General features: G+C 43.9%; 1 long non-coding RNA gene and 1 pseudogene across 1 annotated transcript, besides 5 other annotated features; one reads left to right on the top strand and one right to left on the bottom strand.

Moving 5' to 3' along the window:
• Positions 1-992: 992 nt before the first annotated feature.
• LOC107984897 (uncharacterized) lies at positions 993-18,962 on the bottom strand. Its single transcript, XR_001752267.2, has 4 exons — positions 18,802-18,962; positions 18,106-18,297; positions 6,446-6,542; positions 993-4,278 (listed from the first exon to the last, which is right to left on the bottom strand). It is a non-coding gene; the product is annotated as an uncharacterized LOC107984897 (long non-coding RNA).
• Positions 3,217-3,386: an enhancer, noted in NCBI's record as "experimental_45838 CRE fragment used in MPRA reporter constructs". NCBI's record gives its function as "activates a minimal promoter by MPRAs in K562 erythroleukemia cells, with activity observed for the non-introgressed 16:78100851 variant allele {active_cell/tissue: K562}" and the evidence as "EXISTENCE:reporter gene assay evidence [ECO:0000049][PMID:34662402]".
• Positions 4,662-4,831: an enhancer, noted in NCBI's record as "experimental_45804 CRE fragment used in MPRA reporter constructs". NCBI's record gives its function as "activates a minimal promoter by MPRAs in K562 erythroleukemia cells, with activity observed for both the introgressed and non-introgressed 16:78099406 or rs12927231 variant alleles {active_cell/tissue: K562}" and the evidence as "EXISTENCE:reporter gene assay evidence [ECO:0000049][PMID:34662402]".
• Position 4,746: a transcriptional cis regulatory region, noted in NCBI's record as "Neanderthal adaptively introgressed variant 16:78099406 (GRCh37/hg19 assembly coordinates) or rs12927231 in the experimental_45804 CRE". NCBI's record gives its function as "modulates activity of the experimental_45804 enhancer by MPRAs in K562 erythroleukemia cells {active_cell/tissue: K562}" and the evidence as "EXISTENCE:reporter gene assay evidence [ECO:0000049][PMID:34662402]".
• Positions 6,395-6,564: an enhancer, noted in NCBI's record as "experimental_45737 CRE fragment used in MPRA reporter constructs". NCBI's record gives its function as "activates a minimal promoter by MPRAs in K562 erythroleukemia cells, with activity observed for both the introgressed and non-introgressed 16:78097673 variant alleles {active_cell/tissue: K562}" and the evidence as "EXISTENCE:reporter gene assay evidence [ECO:0000049][PMID:34662402]".
• Positions 13,800-14,428, top strand: LOC100131126 (leucine rich repeat containing 59 pseudogene; annotated as a pseudogene).
• Positions 16,972-17,141: an enhancer, noted in NCBI's record as "experimental_45663 CRE fragment used in MPRA reporter constructs". NCBI's record gives its function as "activates a minimal promoter by MPRAs in K562 erythroleukemia cells, with activity observed for both the introgressed and non-introgressed 16:78087096 variant alleles {active_cell/tissue: K562}" and the evidence as "EXISTENCE:reporter gene assay evidence [ECO:0000049][PMID:34662402]".
• Positions 18,963-19,158: the final 196 nt, after the last annotated feature.

Below are 19,158 nucleotides of genomic sequence, written 5' to 3'. Positions count from 1 at the left end.
GTGGGAAGGCATGGGTTTTAAAAAGGGAAAACTTGATAAGGAAGGCATGCAAGAATTGGGCTGAGTACAATGTCCTCGTGTCTTGTTCTGGTGGCCACCTTGGGTCCCAGTCCACCTGGACATCAGGCTGACGTCATCTCAACAATGGCCGGGTTGTTAATTCGCCACCTTGAAGCCATCTCTGGAACTGTGCAACTGGGTCTCCAGGCTTGGTCTGTTTCAAGATTAGCTCCTAGAACTTCTAAGAAGACACATAATTAGATACTAGCATACAGTTAGATAAATGTGAAGAGAGTGAGAATGGGAGGTCCGTGGAGTCTATTTCAAGGATAAGGAAAGGCTGGGCGCGGTGACTCACGCCTGTAATCCCAGCACTTTGGGAGGCCGAGGCGGGCGGATCACGAGGTCAGGAGATCGAAATCATCCTGGGTAACACAGTGAATCCCCCTCTCTACTAAAAATACAAAAAATTAGCCGGGCGTGGTGGCGGGCGCCTGTAGTCCCAGCTAGTCGGGAGGATGAGGCAGGAGAATGGCGTGACTTCTGGGAGGCGGAGCTTGCAGTGAGCCAAGATCATGCCACTGCCCTCCAGCCTGGGCGATGAGCGATACTCCGTCTCAAAAAAAAAAAAAAAAAAAAGATAAGGAAAGGCTTCTGCAGTTTGCCTCAAGCTTATATCTTGAAATCCAAGAGAAAGGAAAAATAAAAATGTTTAATGCATTTTGAAGCTAAGTTGTCCAACTACATTATGTCTATTTTCCCAAATACCTTTTCCTGCACTATGTATTGATTCATTGTATTCATTTTAATACCTAAGCCCTTACACTACATTACAATAGTTAACCTTTTCATCAATATTATCCAATGCTTGGCACAGAATAGAACACTAAGCAGAAAGTAACCATTGTCATTATTACTATTGGGACTATCATTATACATGTAAAAAGACTCTTCCTGTGTTCAAACTGTAGACAAGATTGAATGACAAGAGGTTGTCTTTACACCAATATTTAATATTTGAGTCTCCAGAGTCACCATATTACAACCAGGAGAATTAAAACATGATATGAAATTGCTCAGTAATGAATTTATCACCTATAAAATACCCATAAAACATAACTTTGTTATTGACAGTAACTTCTGATTTATCCCTGCCCATTATCAATATATTTTTGATTGTCCTAACTGATAGTCAACATCTAGCAATACAATGCAAGTACAGTCAATGTAAATAGATTGCAAAGCCGAAGTGCAAATCTTTCCAAAAGCATGGGCTTTCATAAAATCAGTTTGGGTGATTTCAGAGAACTGCTTCAATTATAGGCAAAGGAACTCACAGAAGAAAACTAGTTAACAAATGAGTTGGATAAAGGACGACGATGGACACTTAAATATATTTGGATTAAAGGGTTAGAAAAGAGTCACTGTCAAAAATTCATGAAGTTCTTGACTATTCTTTTGTCAACAGGACCCTCTTTGTGATGTTAATGTTCAAGTCAATTGTGAAGAGTAAGGTCTGTAAAGCTGTCACACAATTTTGTAGAAAAAATTAACCATTTCCTCCAAAAAATTAACATTTTATTCATTTTTTATTCTAAGATTTAGTGAAGTTGCTATTATGAACTACATTTGGATAAATATAAAATAAACTTACTCTCATAATTTATAGCTACAGCTTTTCATCTATTCATAATAAAATTTTGATCACATTTTAGTAGGGTGTAAGGCCTTACTTTAAGAGAACAAGTAATTTTACGATAATGAAGATCTCTAGTATGTTAAAATGATGGTGCTGCTGGGCATGGTGGCTCAAGCCTGTAATCCCAGCACTTTGGGAGGCTGAGGACAGGCAGATCACTTAAGGTCAGGAGCTCCAGACCAGCTTGGCCAACATGGCGAAACCCCATCTCTACTAAAAAAATACAAAAATTAGCCAGCCATGCTGGTAGTGCATTCCTGTAATCCCAGCTACTTATGAGGCTGAGGCAGGAGAATCATTTGAATCCAGGAGGCGGAGGTTGCAATGAGATTGCACTCCAGCCTGGGTGACAGAGTGAGACTCCATCCCAATAAAAATAAAATAAAATGATCATGAGGATTGTCTGGAAATGTGGTTGATGCTTTGTAATATGATGCCAAGTGTTAAAAAATGGGCACCAAAGACTATAAAAAATTATAATCATGTAAAAATATTTATATATTTGAATAAGAACTAAAGACAAAAATTAAGATGTATGTTAGTGTGGGAGAATTAAAGATAATTTCCTTCCTTCCTTTTCTTCCCCCCAGTATACTTTATTCTTAATAACTTTTGGCTAAATAAACAGTAAGCTCAGAAGAATAATCCAATATGTATTTGAGCCATTTAGTCTGGAATCTTAGCAATGCTGCATGTTCATTAAGGACATCCCTGACTTAATTCTCAAAGGGTATAAATGACAGCCTCCAATGTGGCCTCCAGTGACCCTACCCCCTGGTATTCATGCCCTTGAAATCCCCTCTTCTTGCATGTGGGCTGGACTGACATTCTTATGTGAAGAACATGGAGAAGAAATGGGATAGTACATCCAAGATTAGGTCATAAAAAGTCTGTGGCAGCTACTCGGGAGGCTGAGGCAGGAGAATTGCTTGCACCCAGGAGGTGGAGGTTGCAGTGAGCTGAGACCACGCCACTGCACTCAAGCCTGGGCTATAAGAGCAAAATTCTGTCTCAAAAAAAAGTCCGTGGCTTCAATCTTGGGGGCTCTGCCTCTCTGGCTTTTTGCTCAGTTACTCTGAAAAAAGCCAGGTGTCACACTGTAAGCTGTCCTACAGAGAGGCCCATGTCACAAAGAACTTATGTCTTCTGCCAAGAGCCACATGAGTGAGCTTGGAAACTGAGTCACACTCTGCACATTCATGTACACAAGGGCTCCAGTTAAGCCTTGAGATGACTAAAGCCCTTGCCAACACCTTTATTGCCACCTTGTGAGAGGCCCAGAGCCAGAAGCAGTTTTTTTCTCATATACTAAGCACATACAACTTTAATCAACACCCTCCAGAAAAAGTACCAAATGTACAAGTCAAAAAAAGTAGTTGACACAAGCTTAACTAATATCAGCTGCTTTTGTATACAGCTGTATACCCTCAAAAAAGCTATCCTATATGCATATACAAAAGTTGTTTACATAGGTCTGTACAGAACATTAATGAAAAGGCAAAGAAAACAGTGACATCATAAATGCTATTTTAAGCTACTAATTTGTGGGGGCCATTTGTTACACGACAATCAATAACACATATAAAAATTTATATTCAAATCTCTGGAAGTTTGTCCTTTAAGAGGACATGAAATTTACTTGATTTACTAATACCGTGCCTAGAAACATTTTTAACATCTCTGGATTGAGAGTTACAGAACCGCTTTTTAGAAATAAAGAAAAACAAGAAGTTGGAGTGTATCATCAAGGAAGGGATTATTAGCTAAACGATTCGGGTGGCCTCTAGGAGCTGAAAAAGGCAAGGAAGGCCAGGCACAGTGGCTCAGGCTTGTAATCCCAGCACTTTGGAGGCTGAGGTTGGGGGTCACCTGAGATCAGGAGTTTGAGTCGAGCCTGGCCAACATGGTGAAACCCTGTCTATACTAAAAATATAAAAATTAGCTGGGTGTGGTGGCATGCACCTGTAATCCCAGCTACTTGGGAGGCTGAGGCATGACAATCTCTTGAACCCAGGAGGTGGAGGTTACAGTGAGCCAAGATGGCGCCACTGCACCCCAGCCTGGGTGACAGAGTGAGACTCTGTCTCAAAAACAAAAACAAAATAAAAAGGCAAGGAAACAAATTCTCCCCTCAGAATTTCAGAAGGAACCAACCTCACTGACACCTTGATTTTAGCCCAAGGAGACCAACTTTGGACATCTGACCTCCCAAACCATAAGATAATAACTTTGTGTTGTGTGACATCAGTGAGTTTGTGGCAAGTTGTGACAGCAGTGATGGGAAGCAAATAATAAAGCTGATTAAGCTTTAACAGGGCAACAGTTTCCTCATCCATAAAATGAGGATATTAACAGTGGCTGCCTCCCAGGGCTCATGTGAGGATACGGAGTCAATGTGCTTGTAGTTCATAGATGGCTCCTGCACGAGCTCTGAGGGCGTGAACTCCATTCCAGGCCTTTTTCTAGTCAATGGGCTGTGGTCTTCCTCCATCAGTGTCCCATAGGAAAAAATAGCCCTCCAGAAAATTATTGCAGTGGCTATTTTCTCATTCTTCCCAAAGATGGCACAGTGATGATACCTTAGATACATAGAGAAGAAGTTAATTCATTTCATACTTTGGGATGTAAGAGTTAAAGTAAGAGGAGAGAAACATGAAAAGTGACTTAACAGTCAAAGACAGGTTTACTCTCCAAAACCAAAGAACTCTTCATGCCCTCCTCAGCAGGAACTAGCCAGAAAGAACACACTATCCCTCATCCTTTTTATAACTATAGGGACTGGATTGACAGAGCAGGGGCGTCGCCATTTTGGACAAACTCTGCCATTTTAAGTTTCTCTTGACTAAAAAAAAAAAAAAAAGCCTAAATCTAGCCCCAAAACATCAGCCTAATGGCTAATGTCAGCATAACCAGAAACATTCCAGCCCTAAGATAAACCCTCCTCCAACCAGAAATATGCCAACCCCAAGACAGCCTCCCCTCTGACCAGTGACATTCCAACGCTGTAATAAACTTTCCCTCACATAGAAACATTCTGAACCTACGATAAGCTCCCCACTTCCTAAACCCTTAAATATCCTTAGTCTGTAAAAGGGAATGTTCCTGACCAAAATTGGACAGAAGCCCTGTTTATCTTGGAGAATAAACCTGTTTTTAACTGTTAAGCCGCTTTTCGTGTTTCTTTCCTCTTTCTCTAACTCTTATAAGGGGTATAGGGGTTTATTCTCTCACTAATACCATTTGAGAAGGGTTGGATAGAAGATGTGGAGATGAACAAGGTGCCCTGTTCTAATATGCCCACAGTTAAAGAGGTACAGGTGGAGTATTTCTAATTGGAAATGCTTGGGACTAGAAGGGTTTCAGATTTTTTTTTTATTTTGGAATATTTGCATATATATAATGAGATATTGCGGGGATGGGACCCAAGTCTAAACATGAAATATATTTAGGTCTCATATATACTTTATACACATAGCCTGAAGCTAATTTTATAGAATATTTTAAATAATTTTGTGCATGACACACATACGATCCATCATAGGAGGTCACCTATGGAATTTTTCACTTATGGCATCGTGCTGGCACTCAAAAAGTTTTAGAGTTTGGAGCATTTTGGATGTAGGGATGCTCAACCTGTAACATAACTAACTGAACAGTTTGATTAAAGAAAAAAAGAAGGCTGGGTGAGGTGGCTCATGCCTGTAATCTCAGCACTTGGGGAGGTCAAAGTATGGGAATTGCTCGCACCCAGGAGTTTGAGCCCAACCTGGGCAACATAATGAGACCTCTGTTTCTATCAAAAGGGAAAAAAAATGACTTCCAAATTGCTGGGGCCCCAAAGCTCATGGAGGTGGGGCGATGGAGCGGATTCTAGATTCTAGGCTCCACCCCACTCTGAATGAATCAGTCTCCAAGGGAGGGTTCTGATACATTGAAAAATGATTTTTACCTTGAGATGCTTAACTGAAGTCTGCTGGGGCTAAAGGACAACCTTTTCCCCGCCCACAAGGCCTAGGGTATATAAAGGGTAATTCAAAGGGGCTTGTTTCATACAACTTTGAATTAAAAAAGAGGGGATCAAGGGTACATTAAGGGGGATGTGCCACAGATAGGAGATGTGTTTTCCTTTAAGATTGTTCCTGAGAATACTAACTTGAGTGTTTAGAAAGAATACTTAGAAGGAAAGTGATAATGTAAAACTACGAACTAGCTAACTACAAACAGCTACAAGAAGTTCTGCTGCAGAAAACAAATGCAAATTTGCAGTAGGCTCAATAAGGGCAAAGGGAATTGAGGAGAGTGGAAAATACTTGCTGTTTTCTTTGCTTCTTTGACTTATTTTTTGGTTGGTTGTAAGTGGGAAAACTTGAATCTGTCTTCCCACTCCCTTTGTCTGCAGGTTCACCTTTAGCTTGGAAGGAATAAAAAACTCGCCAAAATTTCCTAAGTTGTAGAATAGAAATAGTCACCTCCAAAGATCATTAGAACAATCAAGAACAAACATTTCACAAACCTAGTAATAGGTAGACAATGCAGGGTTTATCTTACCTCTCTTCTCTACTTTTCTTTCCTGAAGGTTAAAAACTGCCCAAACTTAAACTGTGCCAGCTACACTGAAATACTGAGCAGTACGAAATTACCTAGTAGCAATGTTAGGGGAGAAGGGGATATTCCAGGAGAACTCCAGAAAAGTCAGCAAGCTTGTTCCCAATGTCTGGCCATGGAAGATCGGAGCAGAAGACTTACTTGAAATGGTTCCTATGATACTGTTTTTCTTCAGGAAGTGTACTTAGATTCTATTCAGTGTGGTTATGAACCAGCAGGATTTGCATCACCTGGGCAGCTAGTTAGAAATACAAATTTTAAATTAGCTGGGCCTGGTGGTGCATGCTGATAGTCTCAGCTACCTAGGAAGTTGATGTGGGATGATTGCTTGAACCTGGGAGGTTGAGGCTGTAGTGAACCAAGATTCTCCACTGTGGAGTTACCTTTTTTTTTCCTTTGTCTGTTGACAAAGGTTCTTTCTTTGACCAAGCTTTAACCGGGCTTCTCTAAACCTTTTCCACCTACATCAAACAACATCATAGAGGATTGTTTGAAAGAATACTTAGAACGAATTTTTTGACTTTTGGGCTTCCATTTTCACCTCTGCATTGTCCAATTTGGGCAGGAATCCTGCTATGTCAGTTTGCCAGAATCCCCCATCCTGGAAATCTGATCTGGTCTTTGCTCCTCCGCTATCCCCAGGTGATACCTATTCTGATCTGCTTGCAGCAAGAATTCTGTTAGGTTTATGCAGAATACTCTTACCCTGAATGGTTTTTTCCCCCTTTTTTTTCTTTTTTTTTTGAGATGAAGTCTCGCTCTGTTGCCCATGCTGCAGTGCAGTGGTGTGATCTCGGCTCATTGCAACCTCCACTTCCTGGGTTCATGCAAGTCTCGTGCCTCAGCTTCTCAAGTAACTGGGATTACAGGTGTTTGACACCACGCCAGGCTAACCTTTGTATTTTTAGTAGAGACAGGGTTTCACCATGTTGGCCAGGCTGGTCTTGAGCTCCTGACTTCAAGTAAGCCACTCACCTCTGCCTCCCGAAGTGCTGGGATTACAGGCATCAGCCACTGTGCCCAGCTGACCCTAGATATTTTCTGTTAGTAATTTCTCATCCTCTGATTCCCTCACCCTCAAGGAGTCAAGGGATAGATCCTTAGCTATAAATCCCCACTTTTTTTCTTCTTGTATTAGGAGTTGAGCTCAACCTTCATTGCAAAACCCCATTGCTGTGGTTTCTATACCTACTGCAATGGTCCTATATAAAGTCTGCTTTCCTGTTCTTTAACAAGTGTCAAGAATTTTTTTTCTTTAACATATGCTGTAGCTTTTAAAAGGAAGTTACTGTGCATGGTCCACACTTGAGTGCGGAGTCATGTGACTTTCAGAGTGAAATAGATACATATATTACCTGGAATTGGTCTAGTTATTCTTAAATATACTTTTGTTTCTATTACAACTCCTTCAACATCATAGAGGATTGTTTTTTGGATGAAAGAATGAGAAAATGTTATTGGAGTTAGCATTTTCTGTCATGTATGTATTTCTCCTAATCCACAATACATAAGGGACTTCTTTGAACTGTGGAAGCCTTATGAGGCTGTAGGCCTTCACGGGCAGAAACCACGCTTAGCTGCCTTTGTGTGATAGGGTTGGGCAAATTTGAAAATATGGAATGTGCCATTTTACTTGGGTTTTTTTTGGCATTTCAACCCAAGTTTGATTCTCAATTTTCTAGTTTCAATATTCTTATAAAACATGACAGTTACATAATAGTATAGAATCTTACTGTTATGTAAGAAACTACCACAGGGGAAACTGAAGATCACAAAAAGAGGAGGGTTGCAATCAGAAAAAAATGTTAAAAAGCTCCTTAGGGGGGTAATGGAAAAAAAATGTTTGAGAAACATTGCTCTCAGATGATGGGTAACATGGGAGGGCCTAGGAGAGTCTGCTTAAAATAGATTGCCAAGACTGAGGTGTTCAAGAACATCAGATCTAGTCCTGTTTGCCTATTTGAGAGATGAGAAAACATCCAGAAAGATGTTGACGTTTCCATTCAGCAAATTTGTGGCAGGCCTAGTACAAGAGGTGAGAGTTTCTGAGACCAAGAACTAGTTCTCCTTCCAATTTACTCTTCAGCTGCAATCGAGCATATACCAAATGGCCCCAGGCTGGAGTGCAATGGCAGGATCTCGGCTCACCGCAACCTCCGCCTCCCAGGTTCAAGTGATTCTCCTGCCTCACCCTCCTTAGTAGCTGGGATTACAGGCATTTGCCACCATGCCTGGCTAATTTGGTATTTTTAGTAGAGGCGGGGTTTCTCCATGTTGGACAAGCTGGTCTCAAACTCCCAACCTCAGGTGATCCGCCTGCCTTGGCCTCCCAAAGTGCTGGGATTATAGGCATAAGCCATCACACCCGGCCTACTGCTGAGTAGTTTTTGATAAAAAAAAAAAAAAACCTCTGTGCTTTTTTTCTCAGCTGAGGCTGAGACCAGAGCGTGGTGGCACATGCCTGTAATCCCAGCTACTCGGAAGGCTGAGGCAGGAGAATTGCTTGAACCTGGGAGGCAGAGGTTGCAGTGAGCAGAGATCACAGCATTGTACTCCAGCCTGGGCAACAAGAGCGAAACTCTCTCAAAATTATCAAAAAAACAACTATGTTGTCATATTAGAACTGCTTTACTAATAAACCCAAATGGTCAGTGACTAAGAAAAGTTTTCTTGTCTATGAATAAACCATGCAATAGAGCAAGCATATATATAAGAGCAGAGGGAGAAAAATAGAATCCCCGAAATACCTAGAATTTTAACTGAGCAGTACATTGACGTGCAGTATGGATCGTTAAATACAAGTGAGGAAAAGCCCCAGATCTCCCTCAATAATAAACAGAATGAAACAAAGGCAGTCATCTGGGCTTCCATGTAGACCCAAGGTTGGCGATCCATGGTCCGTAGGTCAAATCTGCCTGCTCCCTGTTTTAGTAAAGCTTTTGGAACTGAGCCACAATTATTTGCTTGCATATTATCTATGTTTGCTTTAGCCCTGCAACTCCCTCTTGGAAGGAGATAGCCTCTACTGCTTAAGAAATGGAATATAATCAGACCCTTTCTGATTTCAGGATTTTAAAAGGAAAAGCTGGCCGGGCACAGTGGCTCATGCCTGTAATCCCAGTATTTTGGGAGGTTGTGGCAGGTGGATCACAAGGTCAGGAGTTTCAAGACCAGCCTGGCCAAGATGGTTGAAACCCTGTCTCTACTAAAAATACAAAAATTAGCCGGGCGTGGTGGCAGGTGCTTGTAATTCCAGCTACTCAGGAGGCTGAAGCGGGAGAATTGCTTGAACCTGGGAGGCAGAGGTTGTATGGAATGAGACCACTACTTCTCCTGTTGTCCTTCCCAGCTTCTCCACAGCCTCCCCTTTTCCCTAGTTTATAAGACCAGGAGAAAAGGGAGAAAGCAAAAAGTTGGAAAGAAACAGAAGTAAGATAAATAGCTAGGTGACCTTGGCGCCACCACCTGGCCCTGGTGGTTAAAATAATATTAACCCCTGACCAAAACTACTGGTGTTATCTGTAAATTCCAGACATCGTATGAGAAAGCACTGTAAAACTCTTTGTTCTGTTAGCTGATGTATGTAGCCCCCAGTCACGTTTCCCACGCTTGCTTGATGTATCATGACCCTTTCACATGGACCCCTTAAAGTTGTAAGCATTTAAAAAGGCCAGTGATTTCTTTTTTGAGGAGCTCTGCTCTTAAGACGCGAGTCTGCGGACGATCCCGGCCAAATGATAAACCTCTTCCTTCTTTAATCCGGTGTCTGAGGAGTTTTGTCTGCGACTCATCCTGCTACATTTCTTGGTTCCTTGACCGGGAAGCGAGGTGATTAACGGTCGGTTGAGGCAGCCCCTTAGGCGGCTTAGGCATACCCTGTGGAGCATCCCTGTGGGGGACTCCGGCCAGCTTGAGCGACGTGGATCCTGAGAGCGCTCCGGGGTAGGCAATTGCCCGGGTGGAACACCTCGTCAGAGCAGTGCGTGGCAGGCCCCCGTGGAGGATCAACGCAGTGGCTGAACACCGGGAAGGAACGGGCACTTGGAGTCCGGACATCTGAAACTTGGTAAGAACGGTCTTTGGAACTTGCCCACTCCATTTGAGTGGAAGCGTGGCCTGATCACCCACGGCGTGCCTGTACCGGCACTTTGGTTTTTGTTTTTGACTTGACTTGAATTGCTTGATACTTTGGTTTTGGTTTTGACCTGGCTTGGATTTCTGGATACTCTGATTTTGGTTTTGATTTTGGTTTGGTGTAAACTGAAAAAGTGTGTGTGTGCCCTTTTTACCCGTTCTTTGTTCTGTGGTGTGCGTGTGGTGTGAGCTTGGTGTTTTGTCTCGAGGAAACATGGGTCAGACACAAAGTAAGCCTACTCCGCTAGGAACTATGTAGAAAAATTTTAAGAAGGGATTTAATGGAGACTATGGGGTTACTATGACACCAGGGAAACTTAGAACTTTGTATGAAATAGATTGGCCAACATTAGAAGTGGGTTGGCCATCAGAAGGAAGCCTGGACAGGTCCCTTGTTTCTAAGGTATGGCACAAGGTAACTGGTAAGTCAAGACACTTAGACCAGTTCCCATACATAGACACTTGGTTGCAGCTGGTGCTAGACCCCCCACAGTGGTTAAGAGGGCAGGCAGCAGCAGTGGTAGTAGCAAAGGGACAGATAGCCAAGGAAAGATCCCCTTTCTCCCACCGAGGGAAATCAACTCCTGAAGTTCTGTTCGACCCAGCATCAGAAGATCCATTGCAGGAGATGGCACCAGTGATCCCAGTCGTGCCCTCCCCTTATCAGGGAGAGAGGCTCCTCACTTTTGAGCCCACAGTGCTTGCACCTCCGCAAGACAAACATATCCCTAGGCCACCCAGAGTAGACAAGAGAGGAGGTGAAACCTCTGGAGAAACCCCTCCCTTGGCAGCTCGTTTAAGACCCAAAACTGGGATACAAATGCCCCTGAGAGAGCAGCGGTATACTGGGATAGATGAGGATGGTCACATGGTGGAGAGGCGTGTTTTTGTGTACCAGCCCTTCACCTCTGCCGACCTTCTCAACTGGCAAAACAATACCCCGTCCTATACTGAAAAGCCACAAGCTCTAACTGATTTGCTCCAAACTATTATCCAGACCCATAACCCCACTTGGGCTGATTGCCACCAGTTGCTCATGTTCCTCTTTAACACAGGTGAAATGCAGAGAGTGCTCCAAGCAGCAACTAAGTGTCTAGAGGAACGTGCACCGGCTGATTACCAAAACCCCTAAGAGTATGTAAGGACCCAGTTACCAGGAACCGACCCCCAGTGGGACCCAAATGAAAGAGAGGATATGCAAAGGCTAAACCGATATAGGGAAGCTCTCTTGTAAAAGGATTAAACTCAAAATCCCATATTCGGTTGATTTTATGTTGATGGTCTACAGGCTTTAGCTATGTAGGGGGCTCTCTGGAGACCAAAGAAAATCTAGTCTATAGTGCTCATGTTTAAGGTGATGGAGACTCCCAAAGACAGTTGTCTCAAGGACTTTTGTCAAGACAAATGTGGAAGCCAGACTGACAACCGTCGTTTTCTTTGGGCTATGTAAATGTCTGTGGTTTCTAGACAGCTTGTGAGGCTGAAAACGTGACACTTCAAAAAGATATTTCAGATACAGTGGGTGAGCTAAGTAAATGTTTTGCAATGAAAGGTTTGGCTCTCTTTTGTCCGGCTTGAGAGTGGCTAATGTATATGCCATCTCTGTTTGGACAACTCTGGTTATCGCCTAATGTGTGTGAGATGACAGATGGGTTTCTAGAAGAGAGGATAATGGATTCTTTGATCGATTTCATTTGAAATGATCAATGTTTGTCCAAAGATGGAGCACTTCTGGGTTAGTGCCAAGGCATGTTCACTGCATTACACAAATTGATTAGAGAAGTCATAGTCCCTCACACTTGCTAAGCTGACGATTCAGCCTGTCAAGGTGCCATTGTGCAGTCGGGTGGGAAGGTCACCTTGGCCATAAATCCTGGAAGCCACCTGGCTGAGAGCTCTCTGTAAACAGCTTTCCAGAGGCAGAACTGACTGGTCATTAATGAGCTACTACTCAACCTTCCATCTTAGAATGGAGTGGATGAATAAAATGGAATAGGAAATACCCTCTGGTAGGCATAGTGGCTCACACCTATAATCCCAGCACTTTGGGAGGCTGAGGCAGGAGGGATCACTTGAGGCTAGGAATTAGAGGCTAGCCTGGGCAATATAGCAAGACCTCACCTCTATAAATAAAAATTTAGGCAGGTGTGGTGTACACCTGTGGTCCCAGCTACTCTGGAGGCCTAGGTGGGAGGATCCTTGAGCCTGGATGATCAAGGCTGCAGTGTGTGACAAAGTGAGACTCTGTCTCAAAATAATAAGACAGCAGCATGGCAAGCATACAAATCTTGGTACTTTGGGAGTTTGGATCTCCTTAGAAGGACACAGCTGAGTCTCCAAAATCAATGTAATTGAACAATTTGCACCTGTTTTACCAGAAGTCCATAATGGGCTGAGGAACGTCTGTTACGGCTACAAGATTTAGACCGAGAGCTTAAATGGATAAAAATAGGGGATTATAAACTGGAGTTTACAATGCCCCTAAAACTGTGTGAAGTAGTTTGTGTATGTGCCTATGTGTGTGCCTTATGGATGAGAGTGCAAGCTTCCCTGATGGGCTTTGTATTATAATTCCACAAAATAGAGAATTAGTATAAAAACCTCCCTTTTTTCACTCATATCTCCACTTCTTGATTTCTTCCTGATTTTAAGTGGTCCTGGGTTGATACCTAACATCAGTCAGGGGACTCTGTTGCTACGCGTGGATGGAAAAATGAAAAATCCTGATCCAGGTCGTCGTCGCGGCACTAGTGGAAGCAAGGCCTGGGGCTCGGTGGAAGGCGCAGGAGTTGTGGGTTGGGTGGGATCCACAGAACTGACAAGGGCATTTCAGCTCCTCTCCCTCATGCCTGGGAACCTTGGAGCCAAGCCCTCTCAGCCACTGTCATCATGACCAAAGGCTGTTAGCAAGGGCGGGAGCCTCTGACAGGCAGGAGACAATGAACTGGACCTGAGCCTGGACAACCTGAATGAAGGCCCTTAAGGAGCTGGCTGCCCTTCCAAAGGCCCCCATGCTGGATCTGTTCTGAAATAAATCTGGGGCTCTACTGTTGAATTTCCATGGCCTTACATGCCTGGTGAGGCTAGATTAAGAATGAGCTGCAGGAGGTGGGAGGATCGCTTGAGGCCAGGAGTTGGAGACAGCCTGGGCAACAGTGAGACCCTGTCTCTACCAAAAAAAAAAAAAAAAAAAAAAAATGGCTGGGCGTGGTGTGTACCTGTGGTCCCAGCTACTTGGGAGGCTAAGCGGGAGGATGGCTTGAGCCTAGGAGGTCAAGGCTGCAGTGAGCCCTGATTGTGCCACTGTACTCAAGCCTGGATGACAGACCCTGTCTTGGGGGCAGGGCACAGAGAGGAAGAAAAAAATGGGCTGTAACGGTTGCCCACAGACTTGAGCCATTTGGTCAACATCTAGCACCTGGTTCTCCTCAGCAAGCTGGCCACCCTGCCTGTCTGCTTTGCTTAGCTCAAGAACCTGAAGTGTCTGGACCTGTAGGATAACTCCCTGGATCCTCTCCTGGCCAAGGTGGCAAGTGATTGCTTGGATAAGAGGCAATGTAAGCAGCACGCATACGAGGCGTCACAAGATGTGAAGGCCGTGCAGGTGGGTTAGAAGCAGGAGAGGCATCAGAAGTAGGAGAGGCAGAGAAACCTGAGGCCAAGCAGCGAGCTAAGGAACCTCAGGAGGGGGAAAGAAGGATACCTTCAAAGCAGTTAAGTGGATCAGGAGAAGAAACTCAAGAAGGAAACAAACCAGGGCCCGAAATCCAAGTCCCACTCCTGCTCCCACAAGCCACCACCCGGGACTCAATGTCCTGTCTCTGCTGAAGCTACTGCTACTGTCTTGTGTGGCCAGTGGGCTGGTTGCTCATGGGTGAGAGAGCTGCAGCCTCTCTGCGCCAGTGTGAATGCCATCTATGACAATGCAGTTGCAAGGTCTACGTCACCACAAGATCTTCCAGTGGGGTCTTCCAGACCGACTCTCAACAGTGAGCTTGTCCTCAGCACTGCTGCCTGCCAGCCTGGGAGTTTGGATTCTTAGGGAATTGAATTCTTCTGGATGCAACCTTTTTGTAGCATTAGACCTTACCCACCATCACCAAATGACTGCTGATTGGCATTTGAGACCTTCTCCTTGTAGGAATTATTTCTTAGGGTTACCTGTTTTGGAATGAGGAGAAATGGTCATCGGGGTGTCGGGACGACAGTTACCTGCATGCCTAATGGAATAAGCTTGGGCATGGGGAGAGAAAAAACAGCCTTTTCTAGCTATACAAAGTTGTGTAAAGGCATGGGCCATTTCTACTAAAAGGTCAGCTGTCACTACGCGTGTACTTTTTTTTTGAGAAAGGTTCTCTGTCACCAAGGCTGGAGTGCAGTGGCAAAATCAAAGCTTACTGCATCCTTGACCTTCTGGGCTCAAGTGATCCTCCTACCTCAGCCTCCCTGGTAACTGGGACCACAGGCATGTGCCACCACACCCAGCTAATTTTTAAATTTTTTGTAGAGACAGGGTCTCCCTATGTTGCCCACGCTGGTCTCAAACTCCTGACCTCTGGTGATCTGCCTGCCTCGGCCTCCCAAAATACTGGGATCACAGGCATGAGCTACCGTGCCCAGCCTAGGAGGAAGTGTTATCGGGGGACCTGGGGAAAACTCAGCAAAACTAGCCTAAATAGTGGTGGGGATGGGGAGGGATGTACCTATTTTCTTTCAGGACCTCAGAAATTTAAGCATTTTAGTGGCCATACAAAATGTCTGGCTATGAAAGGGACTTCATGACCATCCAATCCAATATAATAATTGCAGTCAGAGAAACTGAGGCCTTCCATGACTTGCCTGTGGTCTCCCAGCTAGTCTGAGGCAAAACTGGATTTCCACTCTGTTATTTGTTCTTCCTTTACATTACGTTGCCTCCTTTATAATGTCCTGAGAGAATAAAACTCTCACCAGAACTATGTCTCAGCCAAAGTATAGAATCATTCATGGCAGACAGATTAATGACTCAGATAGAAATCTCATGCCATCAGGTCTTGGGCAGCTCCCATAGAGTCCTGCTGCAACTTTTGTGCCTTCCGTAAAGTGGCAACACTCTAGGCTCCTTGCCTCAATTTTAGAGCATTAACTCCCTAATTGCTAGTGAGCAAAGGGGCAGATCTCTGCAAAGCTACATTGTCTATAACAGCTCTATTTGTACATGGTGTGACTAAGTACCTCAAAAGTAACCTGCTTTTGCAGGTTTTTAAGGATCAGCTGCATAATACACTGAGGTTTAGAATTGATTCCAGATCACAACTGAGGGGAATGAATGGAAACAGAGGAAATGAAGGGAAAAAAGCAGCATTGTGGAGCTGAATAGTGGTGCATCCACCAGGACTAGTACTGATAAGGACGACACTGTCCATTCTCTTGTCTGCTAGATTAAGCATTTTTCTTGCCTCCTTTGCTTCATCTTTTCACAACTGGATGGAGGGATCAGAAACAACTATGTCATGGTCCTCATTCCTGAAAACTCCCCATTGCAAGCTCCTTGCCTCTGCCTGGAGGGAGAAAGAACCTGTTATAGCTCAGAGATGAAGAGGGCAGGGTCTAGCCTTTTAGCCCTAGTGGCCCATTTGGATAGGACTGCCACTCATGACTCTCCTGATACTGGAAGAAAGGACTTTGTTAATCTTCTCCCTCAAGGATAGCTCTGCTGCATAGGCCCACACCCTGCTCAGAATCACTACACTTTAGTCTTCCTCCAAGCTCCAGAGCCGTTGGTACAAATGCTTTACTGAAACTAAATATGTAAGATTAAGACATACGGAAGATAGCATAGTCGTCACATCCTGTTCCTTGGTTAGCTGAGGCAGCTCAGTGGCTGAGCCTAGTCAAGCCAACCCACAGGTTCATTCACGACTTCAAGATTAGATGCCGATTCTTTTGGATTTCTACAATTATTAAATACACGTCTGAGTGGGGGGAAAAACATCCGGATCCATCGTAAGACCATGCATCTAGCTATTGGATGACACCTTGGTAATTCATCTTCTCTGCTCATCTGAGAGGGGGGCATTATGCTGAGATCTTTTTCCTTGTCTTAAAATAGTTGTTTTGACCCATCTGCAAATATTTATATAATGTATTATACTAGGCTATGTGTGAGATCTGTGGGGCATACAAAAAATAAAAGTAATCTGTAACCTCAATGGGCCTACAGTCCTTCTGAGGCGTAAATAGAAAGCAGGCCAGGTGTGGTGGTTCACGGCTGTAATCCCACCACTTTGGGAGGCCAAGACGGGCAGATCACCTGAGGTCAGGAGTTAGAGACCAGCTGGTCAACAGGGTGAACCTCCCATCTCTACTAAAAATAAAAAAAATTAGCTGAATGTGATGGTGGGCACCTGTAATGCCAGCTACTCGGGAGGCTGAGGCAGGAGAATCGATTAAACCAGGGAGGCAGAAGTTGCAGTGAGCCAAGATCACGCCACTGCACTCCAACCTGGGTGACATAGTGAGACTCCATCTCAAGAGAAAGCAAACACTTTGGGTGTTTTCTTTGTGGCAGGCTCTTATAACCATACATTCCCCTATCTGCCAATCAGCAATCTGAGGTTACGATTGTCCGTCTCCACCGACAATTTTGAAATCACAACACTAAAGCTTATCTTTGATCTCATAGAAATTAAGTGGTGAAGACAGGGAGGGGGGAACAAGACACACTAGGGCCTGTTGGGTGTTGGGGCAAGGAGAGCATCAGGTTAAATAGCTGCATGTGGGGCATAATACCTAGGTGACTGGTTGACAGGTGCAGCAAACCACCAAGGCACACATTTACCTATGTAACAAACCTGCACGTTCTACACATCTATCCCAGAACTTAAAATATATAATGTGGTAAAGCGTACTTAATAAGTGCCATGGATGTTCTTGTTCTTGTTCATACATTGAGGTTGTTCATTCCTCTTAAGGAATTCTCAGTAAACCCTGAAAGTCCTTTTAACTTTAAACGTGAGAGAGGAGGACTCTTTCCATCCCAGGGGCAGAAATAACAGGAGGATGAGAAAGAGGGAACTGAGCAAGGACCTTCTGCTTTTCCCCTCCTGCTGGCTATTCCACTTGTTTTAGAAGAAAAGGTTAATTCTGAGTAGCATGGTAGAATCGTTTTCGAGAAGAATACTAATACTCTAGATATTTCCTTTTTTTTTTTTGGAAGGAAACTGAAGCTGAAAGAAAGGGACTGTGGGTGCCATCCATACAATTTGTGACTAATGTGTACCTTGCCAGTCTGCTCTCATGTTGACATGTGCCCAAAGCAGTTCTGTCATGCTGCCTCTTTTTCTAGAATGTCAAGCCTTGATCACGCTGATGATTTACTGTGTTAATAACACATGCTGTGTTTGTGGGAATAAAATTTCTACCTTCTGCGTATGTGTCCACCTGTTGGGTTATACTGAGAACGCTCCAAAAGAAAGGGCCTGGATGGGGACAGCTCAGAAAAGGTCACCCCAAAACTCAGTGCCATGAAGGAGACCAGTGCTAACTGAACATCTGCTTGGGTAAAACACTGCATTTGACACATCTACATCTCTCATTCCATTTAATTTTCAACAATAATCCTCTGAGCTTAGTACAAGTATACACAATTTTCAGGGAGGATACTAAGTTTCTGAGAAGACACTCACCTAATCTCACCTGGCCGCTAGTTATTGATGGAGCCCATATGTGAACTCAGCCAATTCTTACTCTTTTCCTCTATGGCAGGCTCCCTGCCAGTGTTTGTCATGGCAGGTCAGCACACGGGATACTGGATCTGAGAATCTGATCTCCAGGGATCTTCCCCTTATTCTGTTCCCCTTGGAGGATTCAGCAGATACCTGGAGTGGAGGATAAACGGAGGGGGAGTCATTGTCTTCACATTTGGGAATATGTGCTCATATGAAATGATGCAAAGGAGGACAAAAATAGTTGGCCAGGGGGGGTGGCTCATGCCTGTAATCCTAGTACTTTGGGAGGCTGAGGCAGGTTGATCACCTGAGGTCAGGAGTTGGAGACCAGCCTGACCAACAAGGTGAAACCCCGTCTCTACTAAAAATAAAAAAAATAGCTGGGCGTGGTGGCAGACGCCTGTAGTCCCAGCTACTTGGGAGGCTGAGGCAGGAGAATTGCTTGAACCCGGGATGCGGGCAGAGGTTGCAATGAGCCAAGATCATGCCACTGCACTCCAGCCTGGGAGATGGAGTGAGACTGTCTCCAAAAAAAAAAAAAATTGTTAGCATTCACTTCATTGCATACATGTATACAATGACTAAGGTATCTATGAGCTTTCTTATTCAATCCTCCCAATAACACAGAAAGGTAAGTACCGTGACAATTCTTACCTGTAGATAAGAAGCTGAGCACTGGAGAAATTAACTAGTCCCAGTCTTCTAGTTAACTACTAAGTAAAGGATCCTTGATTCATACCCAGCTCTGAGTTCTGAGCATTAATTACTTTGTTGCATTGCATCTGGTGTTGAGTGATTATTCTGTCCCCATCAACAACTGGTAGGCCACAGAAACCTTTTATTTATGGGCAGTTCAGGCAAGTAAATTTCATCACCTAATGAGACAGCTTTTTTATTTAGAGAGCTGTCAACCTGAGATAACCTCCCTCTCTGGTTTGGTGGTGGTTACTCATTTATTCAGAGCTGCTATTAATTTTAATTATTTGTTTGACCTTTGACCACCATAAAGTT

Source organism: Homo sapiens, chromosome 16 (genome assembly GCF_000001405.40).
Source record: "Homo sapiens chromosome 16, GRCh38.p14 Primary Assembly".
NCBI classification, from domain to species: domain Eukaryota; kingdom Metazoa; phylum Chordata; class Mammalia; order Primates; family Hominidae; genus Homo; species Homo sapiens.
Note: the sequence above shows the minus strand (reverse complement) of the source record. Positions and strands in the feature narration are given on the sequence as shown.